At 55.1% G+C, this 20358-nt stretch overlaps 1 protein-coding gene across 12 annotated transcripts in view, besides 5 other annotated features; it reads left to right on the forward strand.

Annotated features, from left to right (window-relative positions):
• TBC1D22A (TBC1 domain family member 22A) overlaps window positions 1–20358 on the forward strand; it is a 413050-nt gene that overhangs the window by 274688 nt on the left and 118004 nt on the right.
• Window positions 7904–8419: an enhancer, noted in NCBI's record as "H3K27ac-H3K4me1 hESC enhancer chr22:47441137-47441652 (GRCh37/hg19 assembly coordinates)". NCBI's record gives its function as "activates a minimal SCP1, AML or CMV promoter by ChIP-STARR-seq in primed H9 embryonic stem cells {active_cell/tissue: H9 hESC(primed)}" and the evidence as "EXISTENCE:reporter gene assay evidence [ECO:0000049][PMID:30033119]".
• Window positions 8937–9452: an enhancer, noted in NCBI's record as "H3K27ac-H3K4me1 hESC enhancer chr22:47442170-47442685 (GRCh37/hg19 assembly coordinates)". NCBI's record gives its function as "activates a minimal SCP1, AML or CMV promoter by ChIP-STARR-seq in naive H9 embryonic stem cells {active_cell/tissue: H9 hESC(naive)}" and the evidence as "EXISTENCE:reporter gene assay evidence [ECO:0000049][PMID:30033119]".
• Window positions 14566–15551: an enhancer, noted in NCBI's record as "H3K27ac-H3K4me1 hESC enhancer chr22:47447799-47448784 (GRCh37/hg19 assembly coordinates)". NCBI's record gives its function as "activates a minimal SCP1, AML or CMV promoter by ChIP-STARR-seq in primed H9 embryonic stem cells {active_cell/tissue: H9 hESC(primed)}" and the evidence as "EXISTENCE:reporter gene assay evidence [ECO:0000049][PMID:30033119]".
• Window positions 15552–16535: an enhancer, noted in NCBI's record as "H3K27ac-H3K4me1 hESC enhancer chr22:47448785-47449768 (GRCh37/hg19 assembly coordinates)". NCBI's record gives its function as "activates a minimal SCP1, AML or CMV promoter by ChIP-STARR-seq in naive H9 embryonic stem cells {active_cell/tissue: H9 hESC(naive)}" and the evidence as "EXISTENCE:reporter gene assay evidence [ECO:0000049][PMID:30033119]".
• Window positions 18450–18992: an enhancer, noted in NCBI's record as "H3K4me1 hESC enhancer chr22:47451683-47452225 (GRCh37/hg19 assembly coordinates)". NCBI's record gives its function as "activates a minimal SCP1, AML or CMV promoter by ChIP-STARR-seq in primed H9 embryonic stem cells {active_cell/tissue: H9 hESC(primed)}" and the evidence as "EXISTENCE:reporter gene assay evidence [ECO:0000049][PMID:30033119]".

The following is a 20358-nucleotide window of genomic DNA, read 5'->3' on the forward strand; positions in this document are numbered from 1 at the left end:
GTATACTCCTGGCCGGGCGCGGTGGCTCATGCCTGTAATCCTAGCACTTTGGGAGGCCAAGGTGGGTGGATTGCCTGAGCTCAGGAGTTCGAGACCAATCATGGGCAACATGGCAAAACCCCGTCTCTACTAAAAACAGAAAAAATTAGCCAAGTGTGGTGGCCCACACCTGTATTCTTAGCTACTCAGAGGCTGAGGCATGAGAATTGCTTGAACCCGGGAGGCGGAGGTTGCAGGGAGCCAAGCTTGCGCCACTGCACTCCAGCCTGGGTGGCAGAGCGAGACTCCATCTCAAAAAATAAATAAATAAAAATAAAAGAGTATACTCCTGGCATGCTTTTTATCTGAGAAGATGTAAAACAGGGAAAAGAACTTCAGGCCGTTCTCTTTGTGGCTGAGTTTCATTCTGCCTGCGTGGTGACAGCAGCCTTGAGCTCTCTGGGAATTCACATCCTGAGCAGTGTGCTAGGAGGATGCGAGGGATGCTGGTGACTCTGCTGTGAGTTTGAGCTGCTTCTGCCAAAAAACTCACGCTCAGGACTCACACCTTGTCTATATTTTGAGTTACATATAATAAAGATTTTTTAAAAAATCACAGATTCAGTGTGTATGAAATTTTCTACTCTTCACCAATTCTGATGAAATTCAATTCTTCAGGAGGTTGAGTTTTCTGGAACAAGCCACCTCTCTTCCCTTGAGTGTCCCATCACTTATTCTAGCACCTTTTCATTTTGTTCGAGATGTTTGCTGAAGCGGAGGCGGTGCTGTGGGGGGTTTACGCGCCAGCCTTTCATCATCAGTTACAAATAGCAGGCACCATTATGTGGGATTAGGAATCAAATCTCTACAGAGTGCTAAAGAAAGAAGCGTATGGCTGGTTTTCATCCCGGCACCTCAAGAGCCAGGCTTTCTACCACAGTGAGCACAGCCCTTCATCGGCTGCACGTTCAGGATTTGCAGGGGGGCAGCTGCCCTTGGAGGTTGATGCTGGGGGACGGACGTTTCTGGAAAGGGGAGCTCTTGGCGGGAGGCTTTTTCTAAGGCGGCATAGGTCCCAGGCACTGCGTTGGGTCCCAACATTGGTGCCTTGCCCATGGAGGTGGGGAAGGCTGGGCATCACAGAGCAGCTAGGGAGGGCCTGGGGGTCATTCTGACCAGCTGCTCCCACAGGGCCTCAGGCTGCGTGCGTTCTTCCCACAGGACAGGGTGCCTGCTGGGCCTCCGTGCTCTCCAGTCTCTCATTCTGAGCCTGTTTTTGTGTGAGTCATCTAGAACAGTGCCCCAAAGCTTTGTTCCTGACACCGGTTGCTGGTCAGTGTGCCCCTTGGTGGGTGTGAGTGTTTTGTGGCTCTGAAGTCCTGTATTCTGACTTTGCTTTTCCTTTGCGCCGCTTGTCTGGTCTAATGATCTCACTACGGAAATTATCACCAGTCAGCAGACTGTCATTCGTGTCCGCGACTTGGGTTTTGTTCTTCCAAGTGTTTGGCAGCTACAGAATTTCTGGCCAGCAGCATTTGCTGGGACATAAAGCCTTACCTTGGGCTGTTTTGTTAAAGTAGCTGTCAGTCTAGTGCTATTGATCGGCTCTCTGTAACATGACAGGAAACAAAACTTAATATCCTGTAAATTGCGAATGCTGTCCGTTTTTGTGATTGGTTAGGCTGTTTGAGACCCAGACCTCCCTCATTAAACACAGTTCCTTGTAATACTGTCCCCATTACGAATAAATTAGGTATTAAGTCAATCGCATTTTTGAGGAGCCAGAAAATGGATCGGCTTGCCCATGGTTCTGCACCACCTACTTAAAACTCCTAATAGGTATTAAAACTTTAAGCACAATTGTGGCATCTTTATTGAGTTAATTTTCTTGAAATTAAATTTTGTCATGAATTGACTCATTTGTACCAGGGACTCATTCTTGAACTGATAGTACCCTGGTTATAAACCTCTTCATATCTTAAGAATCGGGGGTATTTCTATTTTACAGGGCCAAGTAACCATGAAATTGTATTGCATCTTTTGGCAATGAAAATACATAGTAATCATAGGAAAGCAATCGGGTGATTACTCTCCCCTAAACTGGGGGGTTTATTAGCTGAGCCATTACAGGTTTTAGTTACTCTTTAACCCCTTACAAGGTAGCTTAAAGTCCTCTTGGGACACGTGTCAATAAAAGGTTGTTTATAAGCACCTACACCTTCCCAGGCCCTGAACTAGATAGTATATAAAAATGAATGAGGGGCATTGTCATGAGGGTGACAAAAGGCTTGGAAGAGGAGCCAATGATGCAGAGATAGCCCAGATGGAAGAGAATGGCCCTGCTCCCCCAGGGGTCGCGTGCTCCCTCATGGATGCGTGCATTTCAGGAAAAAAAAAAAAAAAAAAAAAAAGAAATACCTGGGCCTGGGTCATTTGTAAAGAAAAGAGGTTTAATTGGCACATGGTTCCAAAGAGGCTGTACGGAAGGTATAGTGCTGGCATCTGCTCGGCTTCTGAGGAGGCCTCAGGAAACTTGCAATCATGGCAGAAGGTGAAGAGGAAGCAGGCGTGTCTTCCATGGCTGGAGCAGGAGCAAGGCGTCGGGGAGGTGCCACAGCCTTTTTTTTTTTTTTTTTTTTTTTTTTTGAGACAGAGTCTCACTCTGTTGTCCAGGCTGGAGTGCAGTGGTGCGATCTCGGCCCACTGCAAGCTCCGCCTCCCAGGTTCATGCCATTCTCCTGCCTCAGCCTCTTGAGTAGCTGGGACTACAGGTGCCCGCCACCACGCCCGGCTAATTTTTTTGTATTTTTAGTAGAGATGAGGTTTCACCGTGTTAGCCAGGATGGTCTCGATCTCCTGACCTTGTGATCCACCTGCCTCGGCCTCCCAAAGTGCTGGGATTACAGGTGTGAGCCACCACGCCTGGCCGGTGCCCAGACTTTTAAACAACCCGATCTCAGGAGAGCTCACTCACTAGCATGAGAACGGCGTGGAGAAGGGTGGTGGTAAACCACTCGGGAGAGTCTGACCTCCTGATCTCATCACCACCTCCAACATTGGGGATTACAATTAGACATGAGATTTGGTGGGGACACAGATCCAAACCCTGCGTCAGCAGTGGTCATCAATGGCTGAGAGCAGGTGCATGGGGGTGAATTCAGCCAGGATGAGGGGGTCGTCGAGCAAGTGGGGTCAGAGGGCATCGGTAAGTCTGAGAAGTGTGGCTCTGATGGGGAGAGGGAAGCTCGGATGGGGGGTGGGTGGAACCTGGGGAGGGTGATCCCACAGTGGGCGATCCCTGGGTGCATGAGGCTGCTGGGGAGGTGAGGATGCAGGGCGGCGGCTGACTTGATGGGGGGCCCTGTGGGAGGTTACCCCGTGCGGGACGTGACTCAGCAGCAGAGGAGCAGCTGGGGTAGGCCGTGGAATGAAAAAGAACAACAGGTTCTGACAGGACATTCAAAGCCAGGTTCTTTTCTCTAAATCCCGGTGACTTCTTCCTCTTGGGGAACATTCAGGGCTCTGAGTATGGTGAGTGAGCAGCAGCCAAGCCGGCCTCCTGGGCCTGGGAGGTTCCATTTCCAGTTTGGTGAAGGCCACCTCTCGTTTGAGATCCTCGGCTGCCTTCAGGGCTGCGGGTACACCTGAAACGGTTACTTACGCTGCTTTAGAATGGCTCCTCACACACATCCTGTGCAGGTGGCGGGGGACTCGCTGGTAAACGGGCGAACATCTCCACACTTTACGTTTCCTATCCCCTAGTGACTTGATGCTTTTTTTCTAAGGAAAGGGAACATTTATTTTTGGCAGGTGAGTATTGCAAGATGACTTCATTTGGCTTAAGGCCTTTATTAAATTCCTTTCTAGTGATATCCAAGAGGCCACTTGAATGTTAATCATTGCACTTCTACCACCCATATCCCAAAGTGTATCTTTAATCATCACTGCCCGCGCTCCTCACGCAGGGCTGGCTGTAAATTGCAGGGGATGAAAGATGGTGCTTGTCTCCCTGGGCTTCGGATCTGGTCATTCCTCTACCATTTGCTTCCTCTCCCGAGGGTCAGAGCCGCCTCACACCGCACTCAGGGTGGACTCCTGCTGAGGGCGCGTCCTCCCACTTCACACCCAAGGGCAGGTGCTGCGGAGGGACTGGAGTGTGAGAATCTGTGGCCAGGACACTTCTATACATGGAGGCTCTAGATTGCCTACTGGTCACCAAACAGATCTGGGTCCTTTAAGGAAAAGGTTTATTTGAGTATTTCACGGAAGCCCTGGTGGGTCCATGTTCTCTGCGGCGTCCTGGGCTCGGATGGAGGGCGTTTCTGCCCTAGTTCTGTGCTTAGCTGTGCATCCCTGGGCGAGCCGAGTTTCCGATCCTTGCCTCGAGAGGCTGCTGCTAGGACTGAGGAAGGTTTTTCGAGTGAGGATTGGCAGACGTTTTCTGTAAAGGGCTAGATAGTAAATATTTTCAGGCTTGTGGGCCATATGGACTTTTTCACAACTTCTCTGCTGTTGAAGCACAGAAGCAGCCACAGACGTGGACAGCGGGCGTGGCCGTGTCCCTGTGAGACTTGCCTACCGAGGCACCAGCGAGCTGTGGTTTGCTTGCCCGCCCTAACCTATAGCAAGTGCCTGGCCCTGCACCAAGCACAGAGCAGGCATCAGGCAAGATTGTCTCCCCAGCCCTTATCACCGGTGTTTTGTCCACTGTGTGCTGTTCACATTCTGGGCTTTGTTGCCAGGCAGTCATTGTTCTCTGAGAGTTTTTATAGAAGATGGAACTGGGAGTCTAGGAGCATAAGCACCTTGCCCAGGGCCACTTCCCTTTCATACTGTGTCACAGTGGCTTCTATTTCTGCCCCCCCCATGAGGCACTTTGGGCTCCAGGGCCCTGTTGAGGCACCGTGCGAATGGGGTTCCAGTCTCTCAGTTACCAGGCTGTGCATGGCTGGAGCAGAGACCGGGAGCCAGGGCTGCCACTGCCAGTCCACATCTCTGTCCTGGCCAGAGCCCCCATCAGTGCGCTGTGGCAGTGGGGGCGCCATGGCTCCCGGTCTGTGGAATTGCTACCTTGCCAGCCTGTATGAGAGAGAGAGAGAGAGAGGAAGAGAGAGGAGAGAGAGAGAGAATATGAATGAATGAGAATGAAGATGATGCGGGGACATTGGGACTCAGCATCACAGCCTTCTGATTTCCATGCGGGAGGAGCTATCTGATTGTGTTCCTCCTGCACCCTGTGGGTCTGGCAGTCTGGCAGTGCCATTTCTGAGATACAGCCCCACATTCCAGGACACCAGTCGTGCCAGCCAGGGGCATGGGGCAGAGGTCAGGGCCAGAGCCTCCAAGCATGTTGAATGCCAACTGCCTGATGGGACCCCCATCTGTCCACTGCTGAGAGGGGCCACACAGACCCCTGCGGGCCTTGAGGCACATCTCCCAGAGGTAGCTTTGATCAAGAAGCAGCCTGTTCTGCTGCCGCTGGTGCATCATCATGGCACCTGATCCTTGTTCAGTATCTTAGGTGAAATGTCTTCATTTTATTTTCTTCAGCATGGCCAGTGCAAGCCTCGCCATCCCTGGGGAGGGTGCGTCAGAAGGTCGCTGGAGGTGGGGCCTGCACTTTGCAGATGTCCCTGATATCTCTCAGGACAGAGCTTGATCCTGGGCACCTTGGGCCCCGAATCACTCAGCCCACGTGCAGTTATCAGCGCCTGCTCCGGGTTGGGCCCTGTTCTCAGCCCTCAGGCATAGCAACGGGAAAGGTGGGCCTGCTGTCGAGGGCTCTTTTCTCAGAGAGGGATCCTGACAGCAAACCAGCAGCATCTCTCAGGCACCTTTCAGGTGATGAGGCCATGTGGTGGGAGGCCACAAGAGCCGGCCCTCAGGCAGGGTGTCCATGGCAGGGGGTCCTGAATTGAGATCTGTGCTGCATGATGGGGCCCCAGGTTCTAGTAGGAGGATTCTGGCTTGGAGTGCCTGGGCCAGGACAGAGCAGGCGAAGGGTGTGGGGAGCAGCAGGTGGGCCGGGGCGACGGGCACGAGGTCAGGGCCAGGATGCGGCTGTCCCCGGGCTTGCTGGAGAGGCTCAGCACACCTGCAGTGCTCCAGGTGAGAGACATAGCATGGTCAGGAAAAGCTGTTGTGGGGACTGAGCGAGTGAGGGCCCTATCTAAGGCAGCAGCCCCTGCCACCTGCAATTTCGCAGCCCAGCTGGTGGCCAGCAGTCAGCAAGAGTGCGATACAGGTGCCCAGGTGTGCTGAGGACGTAGGGAAGATGGGGTGTGTTCATCTTTCCAGGGGAGGAGGAGGCTTCCTGGGGAGACATGTGAGCAGGGTCTGGGGGCTGAGTTGCAGCTGAACAGGAGGGTGGAAGGGTGCAAAGAGGGTCCTCCCATAGGGCATAGAGCAGGTGTCCAGGAAATGAGTGAGAGGTGGGTTGCACCAAGGAAGAGCATTCCAAGGCTCTGAGGGCAGGGGGGCGCAGTGTGCTCTATGTGAGGTGCAGTTGAGTGTGGCTGCACCAGAGTATTTGGATGCCAGGGCAGGTCCGAGGCTGCCAGACTCAGGTGGGGCCATGTGGGAGGCTCTGTGTGCCTTGCTCAGACATTGCATTTTATCTGGGGCAGGTGCTGGGGAGGAGCCTGTCTGAGCGGGGCAGGTGCTGGGGAGGAGCCTGTCTGAGCAGGGCAGGGCTCCGCCTTTTACCATGGGTCCTCATAGCAGCCCAGGCAGCTGGGCACTGGGGTGGAAGGGCATCGCTGAGGCCGTGCTGCCTGGCATTTGGCCCACCCACATTCCATCAGGGCAGAGTAGGGGGCCGATTGCTGTGTCTGTCTCAGGCCCTGCCCTTCCCTGCACCCTTCTGCTCTGTGCCTCTGTCCGGTGCCGTGCTATCCTGAGAGCCTCCCTCTGGCCCCTTTTGCTAGAGATTTATGCTGGATGTAAACGATTACTGGCTGGCCACTCACTTCCTCCACCATCTGGGTGTCCTCAGCCCTGCCTTTCCCCAGGAGTCCTTTGGACCTGCTGTCCCAGCTCCTTTGAAAGGCTGCCTCGGGTCTCCACTTGCCCTTGCCAAGCCTGGGTGAGGGTGGACAGCGTGCTCCAAGTACCGCACCTGCTGGGTGCTCTGCCTCGTGTGCCAGGCGACAGCCCTTGGGGCTCTCCTGAATGTCCCAGGTGCCACAGCATGGATTCTGTGGGTCAGGTGCAGTGAAACTGATGATCGGGTTAACCTAATGAAGCTGAAGAAGCTGGTCTCCGTACATTGTACTTTCTCATGAGCCCATTAAGATTTGAGGTCGTAAGCTTTCCATGCCTGCCCGCCCACAGGAAGTAGGCATAGATCACTGTCAGCTGGGGAGGGATTTCAAAATGAGACTATTCAGCAGGACGTGGCTCACTGCTGCTACTTTGCAGGGAGGAGCTGGAAGAGGGGTGTATCTATTCCTTCGGAGTGACAGTGAAGTCAGTGTCCTGGGGATTTAATGCTGTATTTAAAGACATGTCTGGAAAGTCCTTAGCGACTTTAAGCTTGCTTTCTTCATGTATCAATCATGTTGCTTTTTATTGGGGCTCGAGAACTCTACAGGAGATGGTTTCTTCCCCCTGCAGGCCTGGCGTGCTCCAGCACCTTTGGGCAGGCGTGTGAAGGCCCTGAGGTCTGGTCTGGGCGCCTCCAGGAAAGAATGACTCTCCAAGTGGGCGCTCGGGACCCCTGTCAGCCTCCATGGCCCTTCACATGGGGCGGTCTCTCCTCTTTGTGGACAAAATGCAGAGTTGTGCTTGGAGCAAGAAAAGTGATTTGTATAATGTTTTGGGCGCTGACTCGTACATTTATGATAGATAAGACCTTTGTTCTTTCTGAAAAGTTACGTGGTGAGGATTGTGAACTGTGGCTGCGTGGCACCTGGCTGCACACGCGGCTGTGTGTTCACTGTCCCTCGGACTCTGCGGGAAAACGTGATGCAGAGCCACGGTCACGGCTGCGCTCCTCCGCGGTTTGGAAGTCCCATTAATGCGACTTCTCTCTGAGAAGTCAACCTGGGCCTCCTCACTCTGCAGACGTCCAGCTCCCTCCCGGAAGCGGTCATGCAGAGGTGTCAGGCGGCACTGTTGTAATCGATAGTGGGTGACCAGTCTGAATAAATTTCCTTGTACTTGCTCCAAAGTAGACAAGAGTCCTTAGCCACCTCCAGAGTTTGAATTGAATGGTAATGACATTTCTTAAGGAGAGATTAAAGAGTTCTTTTTTAATAGTAAAAACATGCAGCAGAACGGGCAGTGTTGTTAGCGGGTTAGCGTTTTGATGACTCTTTTCTCCCATTGTGTTCATTTCTTGCTCACTAGTCCCTTACTGAGGCCCTACTGTGTGCTAGGCCTTGAACCAGAACAGTCAATAAAAAAGAAACCGCCCACCCTGTGGGGTACCTGCTGTGATCTCCAACCACAGCAACCTGTGAGTGGACCAGTTACTGCTGTTCACCCAGGAAGCTGCTGCTGTACGGATTGGTGTGGGGCTTGGTTTTGGTCCCAGAGTCCATGCTCCTTCAGGTGGCTGCAGCCTTGTCTCCACGTCCTCCCCACACCTGGCACTGCACCCCCACAGCACCCCCAGCATCCGATTTTTGGAGGCTAGTGAAGAAAGCAGCAGGTCTTAGTGGGGATGGCCCTGGGTGGAGGTGAGAAGACCTAGGCCAAGGAGGTTCCCGGCTGTGGGCCCTGGTGATGGGGAGACAGGTCCAGGGTCCCTCATATGGACTCGCTGATGCTCCCTGGGCCTCTGGGTGATGTGAGGTGTGGTCTACCTGTGGGTGTCTGTGTGTGTGGGTACAAAGGCCTTGCCCCACAAGGAGGGTGTCCAAGTCCAAGTACCTTACAGGATGCCGGGAGGGCCCCCGAGTGGGACGGTGGACTGTTTCTGACAGGTCACGGCTCGGTAGTGGAGTGGTCCCTGCACCCCACTGTGCAGGCTTCCCTCTGAGATGTGCTGCTTTGCCCTCGTGGGGGCATCTGTAGGTCCTGTCGCTTCCCTAGAGGAGAGCCACGGGCCTGTGGGTCCCTGGCAGTCTAGGAATGCTTTGGGCCCCAGAGTCCCTGAACCTCCCTTAGCGACTGGTTGGGATTTGTGCTGGGGGAGCGCCCAGGGACACCCTTTGAGTGAGGGTGTGGTAGAGGCCAGCTGGGGAGGGTTGCTCACACCTGGCCCTGTGAAGGTGTGGCCACGGGAGAGAAGCCAGGGACACAGTGCCACTCACATTTGAGAGCTGGGCCCTGGCATGGGCATTGGACTTGGTCTTTGTGGGACTGGGATCTGTGGGTAGAAAGAATAGGGCTGAACACGAAACATACCTTTCTGCCAGAGCTGCTGCTGTGATGGCGCCTGGGCCCCCTGAAGCCTCCTCCCCGCACTTGTCCAGGTTTTAACTGAAGAGGAGCCAGAGAGCCGTTGACATCTGAGTTGATCATCTCCAGGGACCCCTCTATCCCAGAGCCCTGGATCCCCCCAGATGCCAGACCAAGGCTGCGGGAACAGCAGTATGCCAGGTGCAGGGCCTGTGCAGGCAGCCTGGGAGCTTGTTCCCCAGGAGTGTAAGAAAGGCTGGCGGGTCTGCCCCACTCCAGGCCACAAAGAGTGTACTTTCTTTGGGGCATTTTTGGTAAGCTTTCAGATGATGTATTCATTAATATTTTATCTGCAGTGTGACCTTAAGCAACTTGTCTAACTGCTTTAGGCCTGTTGTGGGACGAAGCCCCAGAGGAGGGCTTGGTTTCGTTTGCTGTGAGGATTTGTGTTTCTCCTGATCTTAGCTTGTTCTTAGTGCGAGGGTGTGGCGGAGGAGGGCTCGGGGACCTTCCCTGCTTGCATGTAGCAATTCTGTGATATACCAAGGCCAGCCCTACCCTCTTGCTAGAAATGCATGGCCTGGGAAGATTTCTGACAAGATTAGAAAGAAAGGAATACACATAGCCTATTAATGAAGGCTGCATATTAAATACGAATCATACATTTTTAGGAAAATTATTGAATTGTATCTTTGTGGCCGGTGATTGAAATCATAGTCCTAAAGAGTTGAGTAGATCACCTGTGCAGGGCAGCGTGCTGGGCGCTGAAGGAGAGGGGCACAGAGGAGAAGTTCTTGCCTTCAAGGCACCAAACCTTCAGCACAGCTGGTTGCTGGAAATAGATGGAGACAGCCCCGAGCGGAGCAGCAAAGGAGAGGACCCAGAGAGGAGTAGTCCTGGGGCTGTCGGGAAGCACCGGCTGCCCCAACCCTGGGCAAGTGGCTGAGGCCTACTGCCCCAGGTTGGCCCCACCAGTGATGGTGACCAAGAGGTCAGGCCTGCAGTTTGATGGGACTTTGAGAATGAACACTCAGTTGACCTCATCCTTGATGGTGGAAGAAGCTTGCCCCATCCTGTGTGGAGGGTTCAGAGCTGGGGTCTTTCAGAGCCTGTCGGGTGCCCTGGCAAGGCCTCGAGGCTGTGCATTCTCCAGGCTCCTGCCGTCTGCCTCTACTCCTTGCCTTTGCTCGAGCTGTGCCCTGTTTTCTGCTGCAGACTCTGCTCCCATCTCTTTGTGGAGCTGCCCACAGGACTTCTCCAAAGTTTAGAGTTGACAGCCCGGAAGCCAAGGGCAGCCCCTCAGTCTTTCCCCAGACCATGTGGCTGGATGTCATCTTTGCAAGTTGGTGTTCCTTAAATGAAAGGAACAAGAAAAAAGCCAGAACAGGGTCCCAATGGAGGCTGAGGTGCCTTCCAGTCTGCCCCGGGCTGCCCCAGCTCCACTGCTGTTGCTGCATTTGCGGTTCCTGGGACTCAGCTCTCTGGGTGTAGTTGAGAGAGGAGCCCCAGGCTGGGCCCTGCTGCTGAGAGGTGTGTGTGGACCCGTCTTATGTGTGAGGTGTGGTTTTGGGGTTTCACAGTGCGGTAAGGCTCCCCTCAGAGCACCCCCTTAGCACTTACCGGGTCAGCCCAAGCCCAGGGTCACCCATGGTTGCTGTCAGGTAGGGAAAGGGTGGCATCCAGCCTGAGGTCGGGAGGTGGAGGACGCGTCACCTTCCAGGACAGGGTGGTCAGGCCCCAGCACATCCAGTTACTACGTCACTTGCCGAGACGGTGCTCAGGAGTCTCTGGTCAGAGTTCCTGGTTACAGAGGCCTCCTTGGCAGGCAGAGGACAAGGAGTAAAGGGTGAAGGGCACAGCAGCCTTGCCTTCCAGATGTTCACAGTGGCTGCCACTGGGCCAGAGGAGCATGGGGCAGACAGAGCCATGGGAAGCACTTACAGTTCCCTGAGGCCAGGCCTCTCCCGCCAGCTCCTGTCCCTCTCTCCTTTCCTCTGCCGTCCCCTGTGCAGGCCCCTCCTGCATTGCTTCTCCTAGTGAACGGAGCTTGCTGTGTTCCTGTGCAGGGTGGGATGGGGACAGGCTGACTTACTGTTGCCCAGCTCTGGGGGGAGGTGGGGCACCTGCCGCACCGTAATCAGGAGCAATGTAGGGGTGAGGGGCCCTGCACGGGACCCTTTGGACATCGCAGCCCCCATGCTGGGGCACACCTGACTGCCCGCATGCACCCTGGATTTATAGGTTCCTCTTTTAAGGTCTGGTGTAGCGTGGTAATGACCTTCATTTTTATGTGTTCTGGAAGAAATCCAAAAAGGAAACGTTAACCTGAGAATTGCTTTCAGGAGCTTGGCCTCCTGTGTCCCCAGCATGGAGAGTATTCTCCAGGTTTCCAGTCCAATTTTCTGTGACCTTTCGTTAATGGCCGGGAAGAGGAGGCCGGCGCTCCACCTGGGTCCCCAGTGTGGCACTCACAGCTCTGCCGGGTACACGTTGTGCTCTTCCTTTCCAGGCCCTACATGACCAGGCTTGTGATATTCAGACGGTTTCCTGGGCCAACCTTCGGCTTTGCGCCACTGTTCCAGTATTGACATTTTCCGATATTAACCTCCCAGCTCCTGGGCGAACCTCTTGGTACTTAATGGTTGAGCATGCGGAAGTGTGGGAAAGAAGAAGCGGGCATGGGCGCTGGGTTCACGTCCACATCAGGGTCCCCCTGGGCAGCGGGACCTTTGCACAGATGGCGCTGCTCTGAGTAAACCTGCAGGTGAATGCACTTCTCAGCGGGCCTCCTTCACTTCCTGTTTTCTAAAGTGTTAATTTTTAAAGTTTCATCATGAGAGTACATGCATATTGCTGAAACTTTACAGAGATGAAAGAAGGAAAACCTCCCCTTTGAATATATCCAACCCAACATAAATGGCCCCCAGTGGAGCAGGTGTTAGTGTCTCTTTTCCATCCTTTTCTACGAGTTTTTTTGTAAAACATAACACAAATCAAATAGTACATAAATTTCTCTTTGGCTCTGTCACACTGCCCAGTCATAATGCTTTCTGTGTTAGTTTGGAGTTTTTGTAGCTAATGTTTGCTTAATATTCTGGCCTGTGGATAGATCATAGTCTACTTAAATGTGGTGCGTGATTTTTCAGTGTATTTGTGACTGAGAGATGATATATTTGTGCTTAAAGCTTTTTCTGTATTTAGAAATAGTCCCGTAAAAGAGGTGTTCAGGAAAGGGGCTGCAGGGTGAACGGGTCCCCCTGTGTTTGGGGAACTTGGTGGCCACAGCCAAGTGACCCTGGGGCCCACTGAGTTGGTTTGCCCTGCAGCCAGCAGTTTTGTGAGAGGGGGCATTTCCTTTTTTCAGAGAAGTCTCGCCCTTGTCCCCCAGGCTTGAGTGCAGTGGCTCGATCTCAGCCCACTGCAACCTCTGCCTCCTGGGTTCAAACGATTCTCCTGCCTCTGCCTCCCAAGTAGCTAGGATTAAGGCGCCTGCCACCACGCCTGGCTAATTTTTGTATTTTTTAGTAGAGACGGGGTTTCACCCTGTTGGCCAGGCTGGTCTCAAACTCCTGACCTCAAGTGATCCGCCCGCCTCGGCCCCCCAGGGTGCTGGGATTACAGACATGAGCCACCGCGCCTGGCCGAGAGGGGGCATTTCTTTACCGTCACCATCACTGGGCATTTTCATTAACCTCGTTCTTCCTCATCTGGTTAAGCAGTAGACAGAAACACCCTGATTCTATTTTTATTTCCATGGCTGCTATTTAATTCCAAAAGTTTCCCGTGTTTTTAGCAGCTGGCTGTGCTCTGTTTTTTAGGTAACCTTTTAGTTCACCCATGGTGTCTTTCTGGGACATTTTAAGCTTGAGAGCATCCGTTCAGAGTGTTCACTGCAGCCAGCATTTGCTTGGGACCGCGTGTGAGGCCTCTCCAGGCGCCGCTTGGGCCCTGACTCTAGGAGCTTGCCTTCTGCACAAAGTACAGGGTGGCCACAGGAGACAGCTACTAAGAGCAGCCAGGGATGGGTGGGGCCCGGAGTCAGATTGCAGGCCATGGCGGGGGCTCGGGAAGGGTCTTGTGAGGGCAGAACCTTGGGGTGGGTGGGATGAGGGTGAAGTGCGCATCGGTGGAGGTGGGGGGATGGTGAGGACAGCCTGGGAGGAGCCTGTGGTCTGTCTGCCATGCCCTGGACAGGTGGACTGGGTTCCCCTCTGACCCTGGGTGGCAGCTTCTGCTCACAGTGTCTCTGGATGAGGAGGGCGGCCACACCAATGCGGTGGAGGGAGCAGGGGGTGGCGGGGGCAGTCGCGGGGACCTTTGCAGCCGCCTGGGAATAGCAGCGCTCCCTTTGCTAAGGAGACCCTGTCTGGGCGGCGGCTCTGGGGCTTCCCCAGGGGGCTTCCGTGGGTTCTGCCCTGTGGCCTGGCAGGTCATGTGGGAGGCTGGGTCATTGCAGGGGGACCTCTCCTCCCTCGGGGCTGTAGATTGTAGCAAAGGAGCTGAGGGAGTGGGAGCAGGGAGGAGTTCCCACCTCAGCTTCAGCAGAACATTCCAGTAATGTTGTTGTCTCTAAATACGTAAACCCTCCAGGTTCCAGACATAGAGCAAATTTCCCTAGAATTGTATTTATCAGAGAAGGTACCTGGTTATAGATAATTAACTACAATTTAAATTTTAAATATTTGTAAGATTTTTTTATACTCTCAAATGCACACATTTGGAAAATACTGTCTTTCCGTCCTTAAAGAACAGTCTAGTTCCGGAATTACGGTCCTCAGCCGTGCTCTCTGGATCCTCCTGGACTTGCTTCAATGCGGACCCTGGGTGCGGCAGGGGTGGCTTCGGGAGCCGGGAGCTAGAACATTCTTTGATCTCAAAACGCCCTTCCGGTGGAGGCCCTGGTGATTCTCCTGGAGGGCTGGGCCAGCCATGCTTTTCAGGTCCCCTCAAGGGGCCGGGCCCCTGCCAGGCTGTGGAGCTCTGTTGGAGGAGACCCTCTGTGGCAGGAGCAGTGAGCCCTGGCCGCTTGCCTGGGGTGGGGGCAGCCGGCACCTCCCTGCAGCCCCAGGACTGCTCCTCTCCAGCTCCCCTCCCTCCTCCTTTCCTTCCTCTCGCGCTCCTCTGCTCCCGCTGTGTTCTGTCATGAGTGGAGAAGACTCCTTCTCTGCTTTGTATTCAGGGATTCAGTTTGTTTCAGCGGTGCTCTCCTGGCCACCTGCTGTTCCAGAATCTTACCCTGAAAGGCGGTCACTGTGCGGAGGTGAACAGAAGCAGAGTGCATTGCCACTAGCACATCTCACAGTGTTTGCTTTCTCGGCCTCTGGGGAATCTGTGAGTGTGGACAGAAAGCACAGAGCGGGCGGGATGCCTCCTCTTCAGCGGTAAGGCAGGGTGGGGCAGGCTCTCACTGGGCCTCCTGCCCCCAGCAAGGTGTCCGCAGGTCCTCTGTCACTCTGAACATGGGTTCATTTGGAGAGCAGCAGACAGCACAGGGAAGCCAGTTCTGGAGTTAGAGTGGGATGTTTTTCTGAACACGTATTTAGAGCAATTTGCTTTCATTTTGAATACTTGAGTCCATCAGGAAATATTGAATCATTCCATAGTCCAGAGGCCGGGCCAGCGCCCTCCTGATGAGGGTGCCCATCGGCCATGCGGCCTGTGTGGCCTCCTGGTACCAGCCAGGGAGGCCCCTGGGAGGGGCAGGCACAGCGGGCGAGCCTGGGGATGCCTGGGAGGGACCCTCAAGGTGAGGAGGTGGGAGGCTGGGAAGAAAGATGGGCTTGATCCATTTAGAAGGAGACAGCCTGATGGATGGGCCCCCTGGGGAGCATTGTGTACAGAGAGAGGACCCTGAGACCCTCCCACAGTGGGGAGGGGACTCGCCTGAGGTCACACAGCACGGTGTGCCCAGGCCATTGCCTGCCAGTGTTGCACCAAGCTTCTCCGGGGATGGCCCTGTGCTTGCGGCAGCCACATCACAGCCCTCCTGCTCTGAGGGGCAGCGGCTGGAGGCTCTGCCTGTCCTGAGCAGGACTCCTGTCGGCCACACACAGCACTGCTCAGGCTCTGCTGGGGCAGCCAGGATAGCAGGAGGACGGCCTCCCACAGTACCCCCGGGCATCTTCCTGTCCTTCCAGGCCACTGCTCCCCAATCAGTGACACCAAGCCCACCACACGGTGGTGCCCGTCTGTGTTGGCACATCACTGCCACATGGCTGGCCCTCTGTGGTACCCGGTATCCCCGTGTTGATGGTCTTGGGGTCTTGGTGTAAACCTGGATGCCACGCAGCTGTGACATGCTGGGCTGCTGGCTGGGCCTCCTCACACCTGCACACTGGCCTCCCTCTTCTTTACCTGTGTGGTCATTGTCATGTCTCTGTCATTTGACTTGGGCACCTTCACTGTGTGTGAGTGCTGCCCCAAGCATCGTGCCCACCACCAGCCCAGGGCCTCACTGCTTCCTGCCCACCACCAGCCCAGGGCCTCACTGCTTCCTGCCCACCACCAGCCCAGGGCCTCACTGCTTCCTGCGTGTCCCCTCCGGCCTGGAGGGCTCCTCTGCCACTTTCTGCCTCCTCCTGTTCTGCTCTCTTCCTTGCCTGCCTGCAGGTGGGGTGGACGTGTCTTTGTTTCTCACGTCCGCAGTGGAGAAGGTGAGGGGTTGCCAGGGCCCCTCCTGAGAGGCAGAGCCTGGGGGCTTTGCTATCCCAGTCCCCCTTGGTAGGGCACCCCCTCCTCTGGAGGCCACAGTTACCTGCAGGACCAGCAAGCAGGGTGGCCTGTCCCAGGGCCGCCTCGTCAGGCGCACTCAGAGGCCTCAGGAGTGCTGCTCCCCAGTGCCCTTGAAGGAGATGGAGGGCGCTTCTCTCCCAGTCGGGGCAGCAGTTTGCCAGGCCTGTGAGGATCAGGAGAGCAGAAAGGCCAAGCCCTCAGAGACGCCAGCGAGGAGGGAGGCCTCTGTGCACAGCAGGAGGTTGAGAGGTTGGTTTGAGGTAAACTTGTGACATATTGTCGGGCTCATCTTTGGCTGAGAAACATCATTAGTAATTTTGCTGAGTCAGCTGACAACATCACATTCACTGGCGTTGGCTGAGCCCTTCTGCGCTCCAGGCGCTGGTTTGGATTCCCGCGTGCTGCCTTGTGGACTCAGACATATACCAGCGCATTTAATCTTCCAGGAACAACAAGAGGAGGTTCTGTGAGCCTCACCCCAAGCCATCGTTAAGAAATGGAGTTGAACCAAGGACACGGGAATGCTCCAGAAGTGGTAGCTGTTACTGTGGGGCTATCACTTCTCTGTTGTACAGAGGAGGAAACAGGCTGAGAGAGGCCCTGACTCATCAGTCATCCGGCTTCGAAGGGACAGACTCAGTGTGAGAGCTGCAGTTCCCTCCCTGAGCAATGGCCAGCGCTGCTCAGAGTCTCTGGGTAGCAGCCAGTGCCCGAGCTCTGGGCATGCATCCCTGACTCAAGAGCCCCCCAGCACCCATGGCTGCTAGGAGAGGAGGAAGGACGTGCAGGGACCCACAATGCAGTGAAAGAGGGATGCTGTTTCAGGAAAAAAGCAAGATGTTGGTGAGAGCACGTGGTGGATCCTGAAGTCTCTCTTGGCCAAGTTAGAAACGAGTGGACTTGCCACTGCTTGTGTTGGAAGAGCTGGTGGAGACGATGAGCAGCCATCCTTGGGCTTCATTTTCTTCTGCCTCGAGGCACCACTCGAGGTGAGGGGTCCTGGTTTTGCCTGGCCGTTCCTCCCCATCGTCTGTGTCCACTCCCGGCCCACTTCCCACTCTGCCCTGCTTCCTGCCTGCATGACTTACTCTCCACAGAGCTGGCTCCAGCATCTGCTTGGGCGCCTTTCTGTGGCCTCGCCATGTCCATCTGCTGGTGCGGCCAAGAGCCTTCCCAGCGGCAGCTCATTGCTATTCCAGCCACGCGGCTCCTCTTCCTTCTCAGGCCCTTCGAATCCTGGGCACTCATTTCCCCCTTGCTGATGCATTAAGAGAAGAAAGATGCTTTGCTGCTGATTGAAGTCAAGTAGCAGGGCCGGTGGTGGGCGCCTGGGAGGTGGCCAGTGAGGGCTGTTCCTGGGCAGGTCGGGCTGATGATTGTGTACACGTAGAAGTTGTGGGGCAAGGGCGAGGGGCTCATCCAGTTCCCTCAAGTCTCCCTACTTCCCGTTGTTAACTTGTAAACAGCAGAAATGTCGTGGTGTGTAGGGCACAGACCGTGGGGTGTGGGTGCAGTTGGCACTCTCACCCTTAAAGCACGGGCTGGGACTCACAGCCCAGGTCCAGCATGGCCCTGGGTCAGAGTCCTGACCACCCCTGCGCAGCTGGGTGGCAGTGGGCGGGGACCTGGCCTCTTAGCCGCTTCTTTCTTGCCTCCGAGGTGGAGGAGGTGAGGGGGTCTCGAGGGCACTGGCAGGAGCAGGTTGTGACACTGCATGGGTACTTGCTCCCTCCTGGGATGTTGGGGTCTACCCCAAAGCCCACACCTGCCAGGCTGGCCCTTGTGCCCTGCTTGGGGCTCTGCCCCTACTGCTCCCACAAGTCTTTCTCTTTTGTTGCCATTCTCTTTATCCCTGTGTGAGATATAGGAGAACGATGGAGTCAGGTGAGTGTTTTGCTGCCAAGCCCAGAGCTGATGCTCGGGTTGGAGCAGGTGGGTGGTTAATTGCACCAGCGCGTCTCTGGCAAACTGATGCCGGAGTGGTCAGCTGGACAGGGGAAGAGATGGATGGATGGGTGGATGGCTGGAAGAAAACTAGCCCCAGTAGTTTACTGTGTTAATACACACCCAAATCAGAGATCATATTGAGAATTTTGATTAGGGGTATGTACATTTGTGATATACAGCAAAGATCGATAAGGCAAGAATTTGGAGCCCGACCCTATGCTGTTAGCTGGGGTCATGGAGGGGTAAGGTGCAGCCCCTGCCCTCAGGGAATCTCAGCACTAGGTAGGTGTGGGGAGGCAGAGAGGTGCAGCCAGGCAGAGCAGCCAGCATGGAGAGGGAGGGAGTGGGCAGGCGCACCTAGGAGGCTGGGGAGGAGCTGTTCTGGCCCCTTGGGGCCAGGAGGAAAAGGCCATTTAAAAGCCTCTGTCTGCTGCTGGGAGCTGGGATGAGTAGGGCATAGATGTGATCCCTGCCTACATTCAGCCATAATTGGGTCTGAGTTCCTGGGCAGTGAGATACGCCACGGAGGGTTGATGAGATACGCCACTGAGGGTCGGTGAGATACGCCACTGAGGGTTGGTGAGATACGCCATTGAGGGTCCTTGCCATTTGGCTCCATGGGAAGGAAGGTGCCGTCCAGGGAGCAGGACTCCCCATCATTGGGACTGTTGGACTGAGCAGGGCTCCCGTCATCAGGCTTCATTACTTGCTTGAGTTAGGTGTCCCGTGCACACATCAGCGACTGCCCTTGTCTTGGGTCTGTTTGAGCAGTCTGGGTCGGGTAACGGTGGCCCAAAAAAGTCTCTCAGGAAGAGTGTGTGTGGGTGGTGGGCCGGGCCGGGCTGGGTAACGCTCCACACTGCTGCTCCCCAGCCGTGGTGTAGACTGCTCGCCTTCCTCCGCATGACCTGGGTGCCCTTGGGGCTCTGTATGTAAAGTTCTGCTTGCTGTTTAAAGGAATCTCCTCCGGCCGGGTGCTTGTTAGTGATTGACAGCGTTTGAGTTTGAGTTGGTTTTGAAGGCACAGGGCTGCCTGTGAGCTGACGGTTGATTTGACTTCACCATGGAGCCCTGAGCGATATCCTTCAGAATGAGCCTGCGCATTTTCAGCAGATGAGGCCACCCCCCTTCCTGATGCAGAAGCCAGAGAGAAGCTGCCGTTTGTCTTGTGCCCCGTGCCATCCGTCACCAACTCCTCCCTCAGATCTCTGTCTCAGATCCCTCTCCACCCCGTCTGTGCACAGCCACCATCCTGTCTCCTTGTTGGTCTTCTCACCGCTGCCTGAGCCGTGCAGCTGGCTGGGTCTTAAGGACACAGATGTGGCCACACTCATGTCAACCCCAGGGATTCAGAGGACCCAGGCCTTCTGTCCTAGAACATGGTCCTATGACAGGGGACCTTAGCAGACCAGCAGGAACTGTCTGAGCAGCATCTGGGGTGGATACAGCTCGCTCCACCTCAGGTTTCCTAGGGTGGTGGTCTTCAGAGTGGGGTCACGGCATTTTACCCGGGGAAGCTGCAGGGACAGACACAGAATGGAAGGGGCCTGGAGCAGAGGAGATGCAGGGGTGTCTGACATGGGAGGTGCTGGCGGGCTGCAGTCACAGGGAGGGGTCCAGCAGCCGCCTCCTACACTGCCTTTCCCTGCCTTGCTGCCTAGGCCCAGCCACTCAGGAGAGAACCCGTGAGGTCAGCCCACCTGGCAGGTGCCTGACCCTGCCTTAGCCCCGGGTCTGTGGCATTCTGGCCTGGGAGTCAGGCTGAATGCAGTGTTGTTGGATTCCGAGGCTGTTTTGATGTCAAGTTTGGTCATTTTAGGAAGTCGGTAGGTGGGTTTCAGCCAGAATCGCCCCTTCCTCAGTCAGGTTGAGGCTGCCGCAAATGAGCGCTGGGCAGCTGGCTGGGGTTCTCTCCTTGTTCCCCTCCCAGTCAGTCCCAAGCTCCTCCTTCCACGGGAGCAGAAGTTCTTGCCTCCCACCCCATGGTCCCTTAGGCCACCGTCCCGCCTTCCCCTGCACTTTGCAGCAGGATTTTACAAGTTTCCTTCCAGGTGCAGGGAACCAGGGTGGCTCGAACCCAGATGGACAGTGCTACACTTTCTTTCCGGGAGCCGTGGGCACATCCCTCACTTCACTAAGCCAAGTGGAAATGTGTATTAGTTTGTTCTGACACTGCTAATAAAGACATACCTGAGACTGGGTAATTGATACAGAAAAAGAGGTTTAATGAAGTCACAGTTCCACATGGCTGGGGAGGCCTCACAATCATCATGGAAGACGAAGGAGGAGCAAAAGCGCGTCTTACATAGCGGCAGGCAAGAGGGCGTGTGCAGGGAGCCGCCCTTTATAAAACCG

The sequence above is a fragment of the Homo sapiens genome, chromosome 22 (assembly GCF_000001405.40).
Source record: "Homo sapiens chromosome 22, GRCh38.p14 Primary Assembly".
Taxonomy (NCBI): Eukaryota; Metazoa; Chordata; class Mammalia; order Primates; family Hominidae; genus Homo; species Homo sapiens.